The sequence below is a fragment of the Homo sapiens genome, chromosome 2 (genome assembly GCF_000001405.40).
Source record: "Homo sapiens chromosome 2, GRCh38.p14 Primary Assembly".
Lineage (NCBI taxonomy): Eukaryota > Metazoa > Chordata > Mammalia > Primates > Hominidae > Homo > Homo sapiens.
Genome location: NC_000002.12, coordinates 67,330,419 through 67,351,006, shown reverse-complemented (window position 1 = coordinate 67,351,006; position 20,588 = coordinate 67,330,419). Strand labels below are relative to the sequence as shown.

General features: G+C 40.5%; 4 annotated features.

The window, feature by feature from the left end:
* Positions 16,143-16,655: an enhancer, noted in NCBI's record as "H3K27ac-H3K4me1 hESC enhancer chr2:67561484-67561996 (GRCh37/hg19 assembly coordinates)". NCBI's record gives its function as "activates a minimal SCP1, AML or CMV promoter by ChIP-STARR-seq in primed H9 embryonic stem cells {active_cell/tissue: H9 hESC(primed)}" and the evidence as "EXISTENCE:reporter gene assay evidence [ECO:0000049][PMID:30033119]".
* Positions 17,169-17,681: an enhancer, noted in NCBI's record as "H3K27ac-H3K4me1 hESC enhancer chr2:67560458-67560970 (GRCh37/hg19 assembly coordinates)". NCBI's record gives its function as "activates a minimal SCP1, AML or CMV promoter by ChIP-STARR-seq in naive and primed H9 embryonic stem cells {active_cell/tissue: H9 hESC(naive and primed)}" and the evidence as "EXISTENCE:reporter gene assay evidence [ECO:0000049][PMID:30033119]".
* Positions 17,682-18,193: an enhancer, noted in NCBI's record as "H3K27ac hESC enhancer chr2:67559946-67560457 (GRCh37/hg19 assembly coordinates)". NCBI's record gives its function as "activates a minimal SCP1, AML or CMV promoter by ChIP-STARR-seq in naive and primed H9 embryonic stem cells {active_cell/tissue: H9 hESC(naive and primed)}" and the evidence as "EXISTENCE:reporter gene assay evidence [ECO:0000049][PMID:30033119]".
* Positions 19,220-19,733: an enhancer, noted in NCBI's record as "OCT4-NANOG hESC enhancer chr2:67558406-67558919 (GRCh37/hg19 assembly coordinates)". NCBI's record gives its function as "activates a minimal SCP1, AML or CMV promoter by ChIP-STARR-seq in primed H9 embryonic stem cells {active_cell/tissue: H9 hESC(primed)}" and the evidence as "EXISTENCE:reporter gene assay evidence [ECO:0000049][PMID:30033119]".

Here is a 20,588-nt window from a genome sequence, read left to right as displayed (position 1 = left end):
TTTCCTTTACAAATTAGCAGTCTTGGGTGTGTCTTTATAGCAGTGTGAGAACGGACTAATACAGTAAATTGGTATCAGGTGGTGGGGTTCTGCTGTAAAGGTACCCAAGAATGTGGAAGCAACTTTGGAACTGAGTAACAGGCAGAGGTTGGAAGTTTGGAGGACTCAAAAGACGATAAGAAAATGTGGAAAGTTTCAGAAATTCCTGGAGACTTGTTGAATGGCTCTGATGACAATGGTGATAGTAATATGGACAATGAAGTCCAGGCTGAGGTGCTCTTAGATGGAGATGGGGAACTTGTTGGGAACTGGAGTAAAGGTCACTCTTGCTATGCAAAGAGACTGGCAGCATTTTGCCCCTGCCCTAGAGATCTGTGAAACTTTGAACTTGAGAGAGATAATTTAGGGTATTTGGCAGAAGAAATTTTTAAGCAGCAAAGTGTTCAAGAGGAAGCAGAGCATAAAAATTTGGAAAATTTGTAGCTTGACAATATGATATAAAAGAAAACACCATTTTCTGGAAATAAATTCAAGCCTGTTGCAGAAATTTGCATAAGTAACAAGGAGCCAAATGTGAATCACCAAGACAATGGGGAAAATGTCTTCAGGGCATGTCAGAGACCTTCATGGCAACCCCTCCCATCACAGGCCTGGAGGCCTAAAAGGGAAAAATGGTTTCCTAGGCTAGGCCCAGGGCCCCTCTTCTGTGTGCAGCCTAGGGACTTGGTGCCCTGAGTCTCAGCTGTCCCAGCCATGGCTAAAAGGGACTAAGGTACAGCTTGGGCCATAGCTTCAGAGGGGGAAAGTCTCAAGCCTTGACAGCTTCCATGTGGTGTGGAGCCTGTGGGTGCACAGAAGTCAAGAATTGAGGTTTGGGAACCTCTCCCTAGACTTCAGAGGATGTATGGAGACACCTGGATGTCCAGGCAGATGTGTGCTGCAGGGGCAGAGCCCTCACAGGGAACTTTTGCTAGGTCAGTGCAGAAGGGAAATGTGAGGTGGAAGCCCCCACACAAAGTCCCCATTGGGCTACTGCCTGGTGGAGCTGTGAGAAGAGGGACGCCATCCTCCAGACCCCTAAATGGTAGATCCTCCAACACCTTGCGTTGTGTGCCTGGAAAAGCCACAGACACCTAACACTGGCTGAAAGCAGCCAGGAGTGGGGCTGTATCCTGCAAAGCCGTAGAGGCAGAGCTGTCCAAGGCTGTGGGAGCCCACCTCTTGCATCAGTGTGACCCGGATGTGAGACATGGGGTCAAAGGAGATCATTTTAGAAATTAAGGTTTAATGACTGCCCTTTTGGATTTCAGACTTGCATGGGGTCTGTAGCCTCTTTGTTTGGCCCATTTGGAATTGGTGTATTTACCCAATGCCTGTACCCCTATTGTATCTAGGAAGTAACTAACTTGGTTTTGATTTTACAAGCTCATAGGCAGAAGGGACCTACCTTGTCTCAGATGACACTTTGGGCTTGGATTTTTGATTTAATGCTGGAATGAGTTAAGACTTTGGGGGACAGTTGGAAAGGCATGATTGTGTTTTGAAATGTTAGGACATGAGATTTGGGAAGGGTCGGGGTCGATTGATATGGTTTGGCTGTGTCCCCACCCAAATCTCATCTTGAATTGTAGTTCCCATAAACTCCACATGTCATGGGAAGGACCAGATGGAGATAATTGAATCATGGGGGTGGTTTCCCTCATCCTATTCTCATGAGAGTGAGTGAGTTCTCATGAGATTTGATGGTTTTATAAGGAGCTTCTTCCTTCACTGGGCACTCACACTTTTTCCTGCCACCATGTGAAGAAGGATGTGTTTGCTTCCCCTTCCACCATGATTGTAAGTTTCCTGAGGCCTTCTCAACCATGCTGAACTGTGAGTCAATTAAACCTCTTTCCTTTATAAATTACCTGGTCTCGGGTATGTCTTCACAGCAGTGTTAAAAGGGACTAATGCAGGCTCTTTTTTATTAAATTTAGTTTTCAAAAAATTTTTATTATGTTGCAAAATATTCACTAGATAGATGTTTTTATTCCTAGAATAATGTCACCAAAACATATTGAGTACCTATTTTAAAATTTCTTCTCAATGTTTTTCTTTCAAAGAGGAAATACAGGAATCCTGATCAGAGAATGGAGAGAGTAGGGCATGACAGGTAAAAAGAGAAGTCATTGAGGAATGACTATCAGGAGAATCAAAACTAGAGTGTTAGGATGAAGTGGAGAGGAAGAAACTGCATTTTGTTAACAAATAAATTACTAGTAGTTCTGACAATTAGCACCTTGAGGAAGATATCATAAAGCCATGAGTTTCAGAGCTGCAAGAGACGATGGTGAGTTTTAATTCCCCCATTCATTTTTCCGAGCAAGAAAATTGAGATCCAGAAACTTGTCTAAGATCTCACAAAGTGGGGTGGGTCTCAGGGGATGGGGGGTGGTGGTTAAAGCTGAGATCAGAAGGCAGATTCTTGTATTTTCACTTCTGTGATCACTCTTCGATGCTTCAGCTAATATGTCCACTTTAGAGTTTAAATTCACTGAAATCTGGAGCATCTGTGACTGATTTTTTTTAAAATGAACATACTAAAAGTTATACAATGAATCAGTTTTATCCCTTAATAGAATCACTACAAAATTATACATTAATTCCAAAACTGATTTATGACCTGTGTAACCTTGGGAAATTTCTTCATCTTTCTACTCTTTCATTTTCTCATCTGTAAGATGAAGATATTGACCTTGCAAAATTATTATAAGGTTTATAGAAAATGTATGTAGCACTACACCTATTCAAGAAATAGTAGCTAGTGATTTAAAAATAAATCACAGCTAGCATTTATTGATATGTGTTTCTGTTTAGTACTTTATATGAACTATCTCATTTGCTCGTTTACATTATTTGTATGAATATTATCATTTAAAATTACAGTGCACTGTGTAACAACATTTTGGTCAGTAGCAGACTGCATGTAGGAAGATGGTCTCATAAGATTATAGTGGAGCTGAAAATTCCTATCACCTAAGTGACATTGTCGCCATCCTAATACCATAGGATAACACATTACTCACATTTGTTGTGATACTGATATAAACAAACCTACTGCACTGCCAGTAGTGTAAGTCTAGCACATACAATTATATACAGTATATAATGCTTGATAATGATAATAAAGTACTGTTACTGGCTTATGTGTTTACTATATTATATTTCTTATCATTATTTTAGAGTATACTCCTTCTATTTGTATATATGAAAAAAGTTAGCTGTAAAACAGCCATAGGCAGGTTTTTCAGGAGGTATTCCAGAAGGAGGCATTGTTATCATAGGAGATGACAGCTCCATGCATGTTACTGCCCCTGGAGACTTTCCAGTGAGACAAGATGTAGAGGTGGAAGACAGTGATATTGATGATCTTGACCCTGTGGAGGCCTAGGTTAATGTGTGTGCATGTGTGTGTGTGTCTTAGATTTTAATTACAAAGTTTAAAAAGTAAAAAAAAGAAAGAAAAATATCTTCAAGAGTAAGGATATACATAAAGAAAAAAATTTTGCAAAGCTGTACAATGTGTTTGTATTTTAAACTAAATATTTTTAGAAAAGAGTCAAAAGAGTTAAAAAGTTTAAAAGGTTTATAAAATAAAAATGTTTCCGTCATCTAAGGTTAGTTTGTTATTAAAGAAAGAACAAAATTTTTAAATAAACTTGTTGTAGCCTAAGTATCCAGTGTTTATAAAGTCTATTATAGTGTACAGTAATGTTCTAGGGCTTCACATTCACTCACCACTCACTGACTCACCCAGAGCAACTTCCTGTCTTGCAAGCTCCTTTCATGGTAATTGCCCTGCACAGGTGTACCATTTTAAATCTTCGATATGGTATTTTACTGTACCTTGTCTATGTTTAGATATGTTTAGATGCACAAATACTTACCATTGTGGTACCATGGCTTGCAGTATTCAGTACAGTAATGTGCTGCATAGGTTTGTGGCCTAGGAGCAATAGGCTATACCACATATCATAGGTGTATAGTAGGCTATACCATCGAGGTTTGTGTAAGTACATGCTATGATGTTCACACAATGGAATCGCCTAATGACACATTTCTCAGAAGGTATCCCTTTCATTAGGCAATACATGACTGTATATTAGCATTGCTCAAAGTATGTTCTAGCTATTCCTTTGGAATTCTTGCATCTGAGTAATTAGAAGAGCCAGATTTCTGAACATAAAGCTGCTACTTCCCTGCTACCAGTGCCTGACATTTTATAGGTGGAGCTGGGTCACCACAGGCAGTGCCTCTAGTCATGACACTTTGTGTTGTTCTATGTGGATGTGTATTAGATTCCTCTTGCTCCTGTAACAAATCACCATAAACGTAGTGTCTTAAAACAACACAATTTATTATCTTACAGCTTTGGAGGAAAGGAGTCCAACATGGGTCTCACTGGGCTAAAATCAAGAGGTTGGCAGGGCTGCATTCCCCCTGAGGCTGTAGGGGAGAATTTGTTCCATGCCTTTTGCAGCATCTAGAGGCTTCCTGCATTCCTTGGGTCATGGCTCCATTCTTCCATCTTTGAAGCCAACAACATTAGGCCAAATCTGTCTCACACTGCTATTTCATTTCCGCTTATAAGGACCCTTGAGATTCTACTGGGCTCACCCAGATCATTTAGGATAATCTTATTATAAGGTTGGCTGATTAGCAACATTAATTTGATCTGCAGCCTTAATTTTCCCTTGCCATGTAACAAAGCACATTTGTAGATTCTGGAAATTAGGTTATGGACATCTTTATGGTTTGGAGGGCATTATTCAGCTTCCTACAAAAAAAGAAATAGAAATCTCTAGTTAAGAGCTGAATAATCTCACTATACTATATCTATATCTCTGCAGGAAAGAATCTGATAGCATTGACATATTCTTCACCAGCTTTGTTTTGTCTTCAGTGTTGCCTTGCAATAGTGAGATTTTTTTTTTTTTTTTTGCCAGCAAAATGGTTTCTTTTATGTAGAATTTATATGCAGCAATTTCTTTAAGATGTGTTAGTATTGGCCAGGCGTGGTGGCTCACGTCTGTAATCCCTGCACTTTGGGAGGCCAAGGCAGGCGGATCATGAGGTCAGGAGTTTGAGACCAGCCTGACCAACATGGTGAAACCCTGTCTCTACTAAAAATACAAAATTAGCCAGGCATGGTGGTGCATGCCTGTAATCCCAGTTACTTAGGAGGCTGAGGCAGGAGAATTGCTTGAACCTGGGAGGTGGAGGTTGCAGTGAGCCAAGATCCCGCAACTGCACTCCAGCCTGGGTGACAGAGCCAGACTCCATCTCAATATATATGTGTGTGTGTGTTAGAATTATTATTCCTAATATTTCCCAATTACTTGTTCTTGAAGAGATAGTGTAGTATTAGAAAGGCATTCTTGGTGGGGGTGGGGACCAGGAGGGAGTACAGAAGGGTCAGAGGGAATGAAGTATCTACTATGCCTTTACCTTATGCATCCTGATTGCCACGCTGCAGCTAGGAGCACAGGTGTTGCAGGCAGATGAACCTGAGTTTGAATCTTACTGCCTCTTATTAGCCAAGTGACCCTGGGCAAGTTATTTAAATTTTATAAGCAGCGATTTTCTTACATGCAAAGCAAAAATGTTAGCACTTATTTTACAGGGTTATTGATATTAAATGAGATAATGCACACAAAGCATTTAACATACTACCTGACTCATAGTGAGGACTCCATTAACATTAGCAGCTGTTGTGGTGGCGGTTGTTATTTTCATCTCTCTGAACTTCAGTTCCCTTGTTTGCAGGGGACGGTTGTATCAGATGCTCTCTAAGATTCATTCAGTTCTAATAGTCTATGATGGACCGGGCGTGGTGGCTCATGCCTGTAATCCCAGCACTTTGGGAGGCCGGGGCTGGCGGATCACGAGGTCAGGAGATCGAGACTATCCTGGCCAACATGGTGAAACCCTGTCTCTACTGAAAATGCAAAAATTAGCTGGGTGTGGTGGTGCGCACCTGTAATCCCAGCTACTCTGGAAGCTGAGGCAGGAGAATCGCTTGAACCCAGGAGGCGGAAATTGTAATGAGCCAAGATTGCCCCACTGCACTCCAGCCTGGTGACAGAGCAAGACTCCATCTCAAAAAAAAAAAAAAAAAAAAAGGTCCATGGTGTTAGATATTATTCTCCATGTATGAAACGCTTGATTAACTTTGTTTCATTTTGTTGCTGAAGAGTGAGCTGTGTAGATTTTAATTAGGGATTCAATATCTGTGTTCTAAAGGTTATATATCCATTGAAGTTATTTATTTCTGGAGATGGGTCAGAGAAATTATATTTTTTCAGAGACTGTCCTTTTAATCTTAACTTTCAAATTTCATGGCATGAATTTGGCCATAGTATTCTCTTTTGATTAAAAAGAAGTCTCCACTGTTTCTGTAGCTATGTCCTTTATGTCTGCTTTTAAGATTATTTTCTATTTGTCTTTTTTCTTTTTTATTCTTTATTGCTTTGGCTAGTAGTTTGTCTAACTAGTTTTTTTTTGTTTTCAAATCAACTTTTTTTTTTTGCTGATTCTTTTTAGTTTTATTCTTGTTTTTAAACATTTTATTAATTTCTGCTTTTACTGTTATTATTTTATTTTATATACTTTGTAGTTGATGCTCTCCTAATTTTTTGAGTTGCATAGGTGAGTTATTGATTTTTACTCTTTCTGAAAATGTATATAGCATTGAGAATATAAATTTTTTCAAAATATTGCTTTAGCTTTATCTCATAAGTTTTGATATGTACAATTTTCATCATTCAATTAATTATAAATATTTTGAAATGGTCATTGTAATTAGAATACATAAATTATATAAATTTTAAATTTCTAAATATATGGGATTATTTTTTGTATTTGACTTCTAATCTGATTGTACTTGTTCAGAGGCTGATCTGAATGACAGAGATTCTTTAATATTTGTTGAGAATTGCTTTTTGTTCTAATAGATGATCATTTTTTATAATTTTTCTACATAGGCTTGAGAAAAGTATGTTTAATTGGTGGATGCATTTTTATATGCAAAATATGAAGCAATGCATAGTAATATTTTGTTTTTGATTTATCAATTACTAAGAAAGATGATAAAATCTCTCATTATAATTTTGCCATTATCAATATATCCTTGCATTTCAACTGATTTTTGCTTTTCATGTCTTGAGGCTATATTATTAGGTACATACAAGTTGCCATTTTTACATATTCCTGCTAAATTTTGATGCTTTTAATATATAATGACCTTCTTCATTTCAATATGCTTTTTTTTTGCCCTAAATTGCATTTTATCTGCTATTAATGTAGTGAAAAAAGCTTTTTTTTTTGATGGTGGTGGGAGGGCAGATATCTTGTTTCTTTCTTTACTTTCAAACTTCTGTGTCTTTATGTTTTGGGCGTTCCTCTTTCAAACACATACAAACAAATTTCTATGTTTATTCAATCTTAGAGTTTGTAATCAACTTGTATTTTATCTTCACTGAAGATCTTTTAAACTGGAGAATTTAGTTTTTTAATATTTGCTTTTATTAATGGCGTTTGGGGATTTATTTCTACCATATTATTTCATCCTTCCCTTGCTTTCCTCTTTAGTAGTTACATTAGGGCTTAAGTTTGGAAATTATGTACCTAGAGGTGATTGTAGAAGCCATTGGAATGAGTATATTGTCAAGATGAGTATATAGTCATGTCATATATACATAAGTATATATGTCAAGTATATTGTCAAGTCGAGGCGGCAGAACTTGGAGGAAAGTTTAACAAGCTGGTAGAAAGAGATCCTACAAAGAGACTGATGAATTCTGAACAGAGAGACAGGAAAAGGATCTGGAAAGGGTAATGTCTTAGAGTCCAGCAGGTGAAAAGGTTTCAAATAAGAGTGCATGGTTAGCAATACCAGATGCTACTGAGTCTATGAAAGGGAATTACATTTTGTGGTTAGAAGATTATTGAAGACTTTTGAAATAAATATTTCAATGAAGTAGTAGGAACAGAAATTTTATGGACAAAGGAAAGGCATGATGTAGAATACAATCTTTGACTGAAGGATTTGTAACAATGGGGGAACTTTAGCATGAGAAAGAAAGTACCCGTCAAGATGTAGAAGAAATAATGTAACAGAACAGGAGCAACTGATGAGCCAAAGTCATCAATACAATAAAAATCTCCACACTTTCTTCTGATGTAGGTTTCTTTTCAAGAATCCACTTAGAGACTGCACAGATTACATGCCTAATTACGAGTTGGAAGAAATGCAATATAAATGACGAGGGTGTCTCAATAGGCAGCACTGATGAATCCATTAATTTGGGTATCATTGATCAAGCACTGTGAAGTTAGTCCTGCAATGTGGGTTAGATCAGAGCATACATTAATAAACGCACTTGCATTTGACCTATAAAATGAATGATCAACATGTCCCATAGGGCTGGGAAACTCATGAGCTCTCTTAAGAATCATCACTATCACTAAGCCATTTTAAAGGCCTGGTTTTAGATTTTCATTAGCAGAAATATCTCTGAATGCCTCTGCTAATGAAAACCAAGTGCCTAATTTCTGCTAAAACAGACTCAAGGCAATTATTAAAGTTTTTGCTCTTAAAGTGAAAATAAAGTAATTTTACTTTACTTGTACCTTTTGTCTTCTTTCCTTTGGGAAGTGACTGCAATCACCAATTTATTTAGCAAATATTTATTGAACAACATCAAGAGTGTGACACTCACCCTAAGTGGCACTAACTTGTCAAATAGCTCAGGAGGAGCTATTTCTATTTTATTTTTAAAAAAGAATATTTTGACTAGGATATCCTTCCTCTAGGCATCTTAAATAAAGCATTGTTTTAGGGTAAGGGCAGTTATCCACACTGCTGAGAGCTTTGACTGCTTAGACAAGGCTCTATTCACTTTCTAGAACTCTAAAAATTGTGCAGTGAGAAAAACATAATGGGTGGCTTCATTTTGAAGTGGCCACCCTTAAAAAAGAGGATTTCTCTTTTTGTAAGGAAAACCTTATTTTTTTTTTTGTTTTTTTAGAATGAAAAGTAAGTGCCCCAAAATTCACCTAGACATTGGGAGGGTGCTTTATTTGCTCTGTATCATCAAGTAACAAGAGTTTGATGATTGTCTTTTGGAAGCTCAAGAAGGAGTTGTTTAGGGCTTGAGTAGTATATAGAGTAGAGGAGACAGAATAAAAGGGTCTTAGTAGGAAGATGACATGGATAACAGTCAGGACCTAAGCGGGGAAGAGGGTTGGTAAGAGAGTTATTGTAGAAGAATGGCTGAATATATTTATGGTGTGGAATATTCCATTTGAAGTTAGTTTTTGACCTGTGGTGTAATTTAATTTCCTTCTATAATCCTCAATACAAGTCAGTTTTACATGGCACCCTTATTTAATGGTGCTTTGGGTGATGCAGGAAGAGGAGCTCTCCCATGCTTGGGACAGAGGGGGAATGAGGAAGAACTCACCTGGAGGTGAGATGGCAAGGAGAGGGATTTCAGAAAGAGTAGGAATCGGACACAGGGAACCTTTTGGGAACCCATGGAAGTATTGTGGTGTGGTGAGATTTTTCACAGAAAGTGGAATGATTACAGAGTGATTTTATTTATAAAAACATGGTTCCTGATTCTTCAATGCCAGAGAACTTGGGGATAGCGAGCTTACTCTTGAAACACTGACAGCAATGCCAGTTGGTCATAAGAATGTATTCCCTCAGGCAGCACAGATAAATAAAAACAGTGAAAAAAAAAGGTGGATCTTGAAAGTTCTAGGACTCCAATTGGAAATAACTTTTCACAGAGAAATGAAGACATCCTAGCTTTGCTCTCACCTGCTGGGACTCTGGATAACTGACTTATCCTTGCCAAGCCTTAGTTTCTCAATGTATAAAATGAGAGAATTAAGCAAGTTACCTATTAGAAGAGTGCCTGCCACATATTAAGTGCTTAATAAATGCTAGCTTCTAAAGAAGGTGACTCTGATGCTACATAAATAAGTCATTTATCCTTTTAACATTGCATACCTAGAGTGTGCCAGCATCTGTTAGACTAAGGCTAAGACTCACCCTTCTCTCCTCTGGTTTTATTACCATTGAGAAATAGGAGAGGATGAATTGGGATCCAAACTTTATATTTGGAAGCCCAATACTACCATAGTGCAGGGCCCCTGGCAAAAAGAGAAGGAAAAATGGGGCATCCTATCATTCTTTTGTAAACTGAGCAGCAGAGGGAGTGCCATGATGTGCTTGCCTCTTACAGACAGAACATGGATGAGGAAACATCACCCCTTGGGAACAAGCAGCCCTGGGAGAGCATGGAAGGGGCACTTGTCCCAGTTGGAAATAACGTAATCTCACCACTTGTGAGTGGGACTTGGCCCAGTGCTGCTTGGTCTATTCTCACCATCATATAAATGATTCCTCTTCTAGTCTTGCAAACGTGCATGTGTGTGCAGTTTTAAACGTTTGAGAGAATGGATTTTGTATTAAAGGCGTCTCCGTTCATGTTTATTAATGGAGAGGTTGTAGAAGCAGGACTGGTGTTTGTTTCATTTATTTAGCACTTGTGACAAGATGGCTCTGAGCCTGGCCAGTGCGAGGACATTACTTTATTGATTAAATAATGTGATGAAAGGGAATGGTGCTTATGTGTTGAGAGATTATTGCCAGAGACACTTGGCCAACGAAGTGCTGAAAGGAAAGCAGTGTGACACTTCCACTGTGAGTAAGTAATTAGCAGCCAGTTGGAACTGAAATGAAGTGTCCTGGGGAAAGTTCCCATTAATGTTGCAGGTTTGCATTTTTAAAGGCATACAGAAACATACATCTTACTTCTTCATGTTTTGACTTTGAAATAATAAAAAATAAACATCTGAAACTACAGTGATATAGAACAATACCTTTGAAATGGCACAAAATAAAACTGCCCAATTTTATATAAAAGGGACACAATTCTAATCTCAGGTATCATATATAAAACAGGAAAAAATTCAAACAATGCATTTATTACATTACTTTATTGCAGTTCTAAAAAATGTCTACTACTTGTAGAAATATTTTAGGGTCCATATGAAGAAGACGTCCTATGCAGGCATTTATGGGAGAAAATAGGACTGTACTATTCAAGAGTGTAACCTGACATTTGTTCTTTAACCTGTGGAATGATTTGAAGGATGGATGTTTTGCCCAGAAAGATGGGGATCTGTAAGAACTCGAGGCACTTGTAGGTCTAGTTTGAGTGATGGCATCAGGATTTACTCTCTGTCTCATGCAGATAGTCTAGCGCTCCTGAAAGGGCATACATGGGCATTTGCAGCTCCTTTTGACAACTTGCTGTTTATTCCATCATGTCTGTAACTCTTCAGAATATTGCTCCTTGCTTTTTGTTCTTCATTATTTATCTTTTTCTCTCATTAACCTGCCTGTCTGTATTCTTTATTTTCTTTTTTTCTCTCTTCTTTTTCTTCTTGGTAGAGCAAATAATTAAAACAAGGACTCTGAAGGCTCTCTTCCTAGATCCAAATACTGATTCTGTGACTTACTTGCGGTATGACCTTGGGAAAGCCACTTGACATTTCTGTGCTTCAGTTTCCTCATTTGTAAAATGATGATAATAATAGTGCTTACTCTTAAGGATGCTACAAGAATAAAATGATTTAAAATATTTAAAGTTCTTAAGCCATTCTTGCCACATAATAAATGCTATTATAATTTGTATGTATTTATACGATGAATTAACACATTGGTTTGATTCCCACTGACTCAAAAACATTTAATCACTCTGTAAGACCTCCAGAATGATGCCAAAATTATTACCAAGAGATTTGAGGTGCCCTATTATTTGGCTGTAACCTTTTAAACCTCTTTCATGATATACTCCACCACATCCCATATTCAAGTCACTTGAGTGTAGTCATGCTATAGTTTAGAAGTTCGAACCCTCCAAATCTCATGTTTCAATTTGATCTTCAATATTGGAGGTCGGGCTTAATGGGAAGTGTTTGCATCATGGTGGCAGATCCCTCATGAATAGATTAATGCCCTCTGATGGGAGCTGGAGATGAGTGAATTCTCACTCTTAGTTTCTGTGGGAGCTGGTTGTTAAGAAAAGCCTAGCACCTCCCTTCCCTCTCTCTTGCTTCCTTTCCCACTGTGTAATCTCTGTACATGCAGGCTCCTCTTCACCTTCTACCATGTGTGCAAGCAGCCTGAGGCCTTAGTGACAAGCAGATGCTGGCACCGTTCTTCTTGTACAGCCTGCAGAACTGTGAACCAAATAAACCTCTTTTCTTCATAAATTACTCAGCCTCAGGTATTCCTTTATAGTAACACAATTGAACTAGGATAATTCATCATAGCTTGAATTTACCATATATTTTCTAACTTCTCCAAACTACTCACTCAGTAGAAATACTCCCATTTCTTCTTGTTTTCTGCCACTTAAATGCTGAACACCTATGTTTTTATCACTTAAGAATTTGAACATTATCAGTATATGAAAAGTTCCCTGTGTAGACCTCTCCTATTTACTACAGTTGTGGGAGGCTGAATGATGGCCTCATACTCCGAATGGCCACATTCTAATCCCTGGAATCAGTGAATATTACCTTATATGGCAAAGGCTGTCTAGAGTCATTAAAGATTCTTGAGATAGGAGATTATCTTGGAGTATTCACCTGATCTCTAATGCAATCCTAAGTGTCATTATAAGAGAGGGGACAAAGGCACAATTCACACAGAAAAAAGAAGAGAAATTAATATGACCATGGAAACAGAGATTGGAGTGATGCAGCCACAAGCCAAGAAATGCCAATGGCCACCAGTAGTTGGAGGAGGCAACCTCCAGGAGGAGCCTGGGCCTGTCTACACCTTGATTTTAGCTCTGTAAGACTCATCTTGGACTTCTGGCCTCTAGAACTACGGAAAAGTACATTCATGTTGTTTAAAATCACCAAGTTTGTGGTTACTTGTCACAGCAGCCATAGGAAACTAATACAATGGTATTGCGGTCTATGATTTTATTTTCAATACATTTTCTTAATTTGTTTTAAAATTTACATACTGCAAAAATCACTCTTATTGGTATATAGTTCTATGAGTCTTAACAAATGTACAAACTAATATAACCATCATCACAATCAAGAAATAGAACAGTTCCATCACTGTCTTACCCCCTGCATACCCAAATATCCTGTGCTACTCCTTTGTTGTTGAACTCTTTCTACACTCTTTTTTTAAAAAAATAATTTTTTGAACTGGGTTTCACTGAGTCACCTAGGCTGGAGTGCAGTGATGCCGTCATAACTCAGTGCAGCTTTGACCTCCTAGACACAAGCGATCCTCCTGCCTCCACTTCCCAAGTAGCTGGTTTCACACACGTCCATGTGAAGAGACCACCAAACAGGCTTTGTGTGAGCAATAAAGCTTTTAATCACCTGGGTGCAGGCGGGCTGAGTCTGAAAAGAGAGTCAGCGAAGGGAGATAGGGGTGGGGCCATTTTATAGGATTTGGGTAGGTAAAGGAAAAAGGGGGGTTGTTCTCTGGCAGGCAGGAGTGGGGGTCACAAGGTACTCAGTAGGGGAGCTTTTGAGCCAGGATGAGCCAGGAGAAGGAATTTCACAAGACAATGTCACAGTTAAGGCAGGAACAGGCCATTTTCACTTCTTTTGTGGTGGAATGTCATCAGTTAAGGCAGGAACCGGCCATCTGGATGTGTATGTGCAGGTCACAGGGGATATGATGGCTTAGCTTGGGCTCAGAGGCCTGGCATTCCTGTCTTCTTATATTAATAATTAATTTATTTATAAAATAAATATATATTCTTAATAATTAATTTATTTATAAAATAAAACAAAACAGTGGTAAAGTGTTGGGATGGCGAAAATTTTTGGGGGTGGTATGGAGAGATAATGGGCGATGTTTCTCCGGGCTGCTTCAAGCGGGACTAGGGGCGGCGTGGGAACCTAGAGTGGGAGAGATTAAGCTGAAGGAAGATTTTGTGGTAAGGGGTGATATTGTGGGGTTGTTAGAAGAAACATTTGTCATTTAGAATTATTGGTGATGGCCTGGATACAGTTTTGTATGAATTGAAAAACTAAACAGAATAAGAGAAGGAGAAAAACAGGTGCACATGTACCCTAAAACTTAAAGTATAATAATAATAATAAAAAAAAAAGGACTAAGAACTGGGAGGACTTAGGACATCTAATTAGAGAATGCCTAAGGAGGTTCAGCATAGCCTTACCAGCAAAGCTTATTTATTTACTTTAACAGTTAAGAGTGACGGTTTGGGGATAGCACCAGGAGATATCAGCTGTGATAGCTTGGAGAAACAGTGTAAACCGGCAATGTAAACAAGAGCAGGGCATGTATGAGTAGTTGAGAATGGTGAATAGGAGTATGACTAGACAGAAGACAGTAGGGATGACAAGTTTTTTGCGGCACAGTCCAAGTTGGTCTGGTGTCTGGAATGAGACTGGGGCCTAATAAAAAGGAGCATCTATACAGGAGCTTAAATGAGCTGTACTTTGTAGCATTCTGAGGACAGGCCTGACTTCTGAAAGGGAAAGTGGTAAAAGTATTGTCTATTCTTTTTTAAGTTGGTGGCTGAGCTTGGTGAAGTGTGTTTTTAAAAGACCTTTAGTCTGTTCTACTTTTCTTGAAGACTGAGGACTGTAAGGGATATAAAGGTTTCACTGAATACTAAGAGCCTGAAAAACTGCTTGGCTGATTTGACTAATAAAGGCTGGTCTGTTATCAGACTGTATAGAGGTGGGAAGGCTAAACTGAGGAATTACGTCTGACAGAAGGGAAGAAATGACTGCGGTGGCCTTCTCAGACCCTGAAGGAAAGATCTCTACTTATCTAGTGAAAGTGTCTACTTAGACTAAGAGGTATTTTAGTTTCCTGACTCGGGGCATGTTGAGTAAAGCTAATTTGCCAGTTCTGGGCGGGGGCAAATCCCTAAGCTTGATGTGTAGGGAAGGGAGGGGGCCTGAATAATCCCTGAGGAGTAGTAGAATAGCAGATGGAACATTGAGAAGTTATTTCCTTGAGGATAGATTTCTACGATGGAAAGGAAATGAGAGGTTTTAAGAGGCAGGCTAGTGGCTTGTACTATAGCATAGCCTGCTTTTGCTGGTGTGTGGTGATTAGGCCTGGTGGAACTGCCGTCAATAAACTAAGTGTGATCAGGGTGAGAAACAGGGAAGAAGGAAATGTGGGGAAATGGGGTGAACGTCAGGTGGATCAGAGAGATACAGTCATGAGGGTCAGGTGTGGTATCAGGAATAATGTGGGAGGCCGGATTGAAGTCCAGGCCAGGAACAATGGTAATTGTGGGAGACTCAACAAAGAGTGAGTACAGCTGAAGGAGCCGGGGAGCAGAAAGTATATGCTTCAGGTGTGAGGAAGAAAATAGATTTTGGAAATTATGAGAGCTGCAGAGAGTGAGTTGAGCATAGTTTGTGATTTTAAGGGCCTCTAAAAGTATTAGGGCAGCAGCCGCCACTGCACGGAGACATAATGGCCAGCTTAAAACAGGAAGGTCAAGTTGTTTGGACAAAAAGGCTACAGGACGTGATCCTGGTCCTTGTGTAAGAATTCTGACTGCACAGCCTTGCACTTCAGCTGTATCTAATGAAAAGGGTTGGGATGAGTCAGGGAGAGCTAGAGTGGGGGCAGCCTCTAAAGCTGTCTTCAAGGAATGGAAAGAGGAGTGGGGAAAGGATTTAGGATCTATGGGGTCAGCTAGGTTTCTTTTTGTGAGTTTATATGATGGTTTTGTTAGGATGGCAAAACCAGGTATCTAAAGGTGAAAGTATCTAACTATGCCCAGGAAGGAAAGGAGTTGTTGTTTTGTAGAAGGGGTTGGGGTTTGACAGATTAATTGGACACAATTGGCAGGGAGAGCACGTGTGTTTTTATGAGAATTATGCTGAGATAGATAACAGATGAGGAAGAAATTTGGGCTTGACTGAAGTAATGGGGGCTGTCTGTGAAGCTTTACGGCAGTACAGCCCAGGTAATTTGCTGAGCCTGATGGGTGTCAGGGTCAGTCCAAGTGAAAGCGAAGAAAGGGTGAGATGAAGGGTGCAAAGCAATAGTAAAGCAAGCATGTTTGAGATCCAGAACAGAATAACAGATTGTGGAGGGAGGTATTGAGGATAGGAGAGTATACGGGTTTGGCACCATGGGGTGGATAGGCAAAACAATTTGGTTGATAAGGCGCAGATCCTGAACTAACTTGTAAGGCTTGTCTGGTTTTAGGACAGGTAAAATGGGGGAATTGTAAGGAGAGTTTATGGGCTTTAAAAGGCCATGCTGTAGCAAGCCAGTGATAACAGGCTTTAATCCTTTCAAAGCATGCTGTGGGATGGGATATTGGCATTGAGCGGGATAAGGCTGATTAGGTTTTAATGAGATGGTAAGGGGTGCATGATCGGTCGCCAAGGAGGGAGTAGAGGTATCTTATACTTGTGGGTTAAGGTTGGGGAATACAAGAGGAGGACATGAAGGAGGCTTTGGATTGGGAAGAAGGGAGGCAATGAGATGTAGCTGTAGTCCAGGAATAGTCAGGGAAGCAGATAATTTAGTTAAAGTGTCTCGGCCTAATAAGGAAACTGGGCAGGTGGGGATAACTAAAAGGAGTGCATAAAAGAGTGTTGTCTAAGTTGGCACCAGAGTTGGGGAGTTTTAAGAGGTTTAGAAGCCTGGCTGTCAATACCTACAACAGTTATGGAGGCAAGGGAAACAGGCCCTTGAAAAGAGGGTAATGTGGAGTGGGTAGCCTCCGTATTGATTAAGAAGGGGACGGACTTACCGTCCACTGTGAGAGTTACTTAAAGCTCGGCGTCCGTGATGGTCTACGGGGCTTCCGAGACGATCCGGCAGCGTCGGTCTTCAGCCGCTAAGCCGAGAAGATCTGGGAAGGAGTCAGTCAGAGAGCCTTGGGCCAGAGTTCCAGGGGCTCTGGGAGTGGCTGCCAGGTGAGTTGAACAGTCCGATTTCCAGTGGGGTCCTGCACAGATGGGACACGGCTTAGGAGGAATCCTGGGCTGTGGGCATTCCTTGGCCTGGTGGCCAGATTTCTGGCACTTGTAGCAAGCTCCTGGGGAAGGTGGTTCTGGAGGAACGCCTGGCCGCTGCGGTTTAGGCGTTTGGAAGTTCTTGTGTGCTGGAGATGTGGCTGGGGTTTGTCTCACAGTGGAGGCAAGGAATTGCAACTCAGAAATATGTTGCTACTTGGCTGCCTCTATTATTGTACACCTTGAAGGCGAGGTTAATTAAGTCCTGTTGTGGGGTTTGAGGGCCAGAATTTAATTTTTGGAGTTTTATTTAATGTCAGGAGCATATTGGGTAATAAAATGTATATTGAGAATAAGACGGCCTTTTGACTTTTTAGGGTCTAGGGCTGTAAAGCATCTCAGGGTTGCTGCCGAATGAGCCATGAACTGGGCTGGATTTTTATATTTGATGAAAAAGCCTAAACGCTATCTGATTTGGGATAAAGAAAAAGGAGTATTAACCTTGACTATGCCTTTGGCTCCAGCCACCTTTTTAAGAGTAAATTGCTGGGCAGGTGGGGGAGGGCTAGTCACAGCACGAAACTGTAAGCAGGACCAGGTGTGAGGAGGGGAGGTGATAAAAGGATTATAGGGTGGAGGAGCAGAGGCTGAGGAAGAATTGGGACCTAGCTTGGCCTGGCGAGGAGGGGAGAGGTCAGATGGGTCTGTAGAAAAAGAAGATTAGAAAGACTCAGCGATGCTTGGGGTTGGGACTGAGGGGACAGGCAGGAGGGAAAGAAGGAAGATTTGGGAGGAGTTGCATTGAGAACAGAGACTACAGAGGGACTGATGTGTAAAAGAGTGCCTGGACGTCAGGCACCTCAGACCATTTGCCTATTTTACGACAAGATTTATTTAGATCTTGTAGGATGGAAAAAATGGAAGTGCTGTTTTCTGGCTATTTGGAACTCCTGTCGAGTTTGTATAGGGTCAAGCAGCATTGTAGAAGAAAATAAGGCATTTAGGTTTTAGGTCAGGTGTGAGTTGAAGAGGTTTTAAGTTCTTGAGAACACAGGCTAAGGGAGGAGGAGGAGGAATGGAGGGTGGAAGGTTGCCTATAGTGAAGGAAGCAAGCCTAGAGAAAAGAGAGTAGAGACATAGAAGGAAGGGGTTCGGGGGTTCTTAAATTCCAGAAAAGTGGGAAAGGGGTCGGGGTGTGGAAATAAGGGGTTGGGGCACAGAGATAAGAGGTCAGGGCGTGGAAATAAGGGATTGGGGTGCAGAGATAGGTCGGGGTGTGGAAATAAGGGATTGGGGTGCAGAGATAAGAGGTTGGGGCATGGAAATAAGGGATTGGGGTGCAGAGATAAGAGGTCAGGTATGGAAATAAGGGATTGGGGTGCAGAGATAAGAGGTCGGGGTGCGGAAATAAGGGATTGGGGGTTCTTGCCCGCTAGAAAAGCTGGACTTGCCACTAAGGGTGAAGGAGAAGGGGTTGAGGGGTTCTTGCCCCTCCTCCAGAAAAGCAGAGAAGGGGTAGAGATATGGAGAGAATGGATTGGGATATTTGCCCCTCCTCTAGAAAAGCGGCACTTGCCACTAAGGGTGAAGGACTAAGGCAGGCATCCCTGCGTGGTCTGACACCTGTGAAACCTGGGTGAATAATCAGAGAGGTGTCCCTGAAATGATTAAACACAAAGGGAAGGCTGCCTTCCCTAGTCCGTGACTGGCGCCGGAGTTTTGGGTCCACAGATAAAACGTGTCTCCTTTGTCTCTACCAGAAAATGAAAGGAATTGAAGTTAGGAGAAGGGGGAGATTGAAGTGTGGCACCAAGATTGAAAGGAGAAAGAGGTTGAGGGATAGTGAGGGAGGTTGGAGAAGAGAGTAAAAAGAGGCTGCTTACCGGATTTGAAATTGATGAGATGTTTCTTGGGCTGGTCGGTCTGAGGACCTGAGGTCGTAGGTGGACCTTTCTCATGGAGCAAAGAGCAGGAGGACAGAGGATTGATCTCCCAAGGGAGGTCCCCCGATCCCAGTCACAGCACCAAATTTCATGCACTTCTGTGCGAAGAGACCACCAAACAGGCTTTGTGTGAGCAATAAAGCTTTTAATCACCTGGGTGCAGGTGGGCTGAGTCCAAAAAGAGTCAGTGAAGGGAGATAGGGGTGGGGCCGTTTTATAGGATTTGGGTAGGTAAAGGAAAAAGGGGGGTTGTTCTCTGGCAGGCAGGAGTGGGGGTCACAAGGTACTCAGTGGGGGAGCTTTTGAGCCAGGATGAGCCAGGAGAAGGAATGTCACAAGACAATGTCATCAGTTAAGGCAGGAACAGGCCATTTTCATTTCTTTTGTGGTGGAATGTCATCAATTAAGGCAGGAACCGGCCATCTGGATGTGTGCGTGCAGGTCACAGGGGATATGATGGCTTAGCTTGGGCTCAGAGGCCTGACAGCTGGGACTACAGGTGCATGTCACCATGCTATTTTTTTAAATTAATTTTTTGTAGAGATGGGGCGTCTTGCCATGTTGCCCAAGCTGGTCTTGAACTCCTGGGCCCAAGTGATCCTCTGGCCTCAGCTTCCCAAAGTGCTGGGATTAGAGGTGTGAACCACTGAACTTGGCCCCTTTCTACACTCTTAATCCCTGGCAACCATAGATCTTTCCAAAACTATAGTTTCGCATTTTCCAGAATGTCATCTAAATAGAATATTTTCATATGCATCTGTTTGAGTCTAGCTTTTTTCATTCCATGTAATGCATTTGAAATTCATCCCATGTGGTTGCATGTATCAATAGTTCATTCTTTTATATTGCTGAACAGTATTCCATTTTATGAATATATTAAACAGTATTCCATTTTATGAACGTACTAGTTTATCTGTTCCTCAGCTAAGGAATATTTGGGTGGTTTTTAAATTTCACTTGGGTAAATACTTAGGAATGGAATTGCTGAGCTGCATGGTAAGTATATGTTTAATTTTTTCTTTTTTTTTTTTTTTTGAGACAGCATCTTACTCTGTCACTTAGGCTAGACTGCAGTAGCATGATCATAGCTCACTGCAGCCTTGAACTCTTGGGATCCAGCTATCCTCCTGCCTTAGCCTCCCAAGATCTGGGACTACGGGCACACTCCACCATGCCCAGTATATATTTAATTTTATAAGAACTTGTCAAACTGATTTCCAAAGTGTCTGTACCATTTTCGATTCATATCAGCAATATCTGAGAGTTGCAGTTGCTCTGTATCTTTTCCAACACTTAATATTGTCATTTAAATTTTAAAAAATGTGTTTATTTTGGTCATTCTGATATTTGTGTAGTGGCAACTCATTGTAGTTTTAATTTACATTTTTCTAATGACCAGTGATGCTAAGCATATTTTTCATGTGCTTGATTTCCGTCTGTGTGTCTTCTCAGATGAGCTATCTGATTTTTATTTTTTTTTAGCAGTCGGGAAACCAATGTAACCTTAGCAATAGTGAATGTCAAGTTCAGAATTATACGTTAGTTATTGCTTTCAAATGAAACTTTTTGTCTTAATCAGTTTTG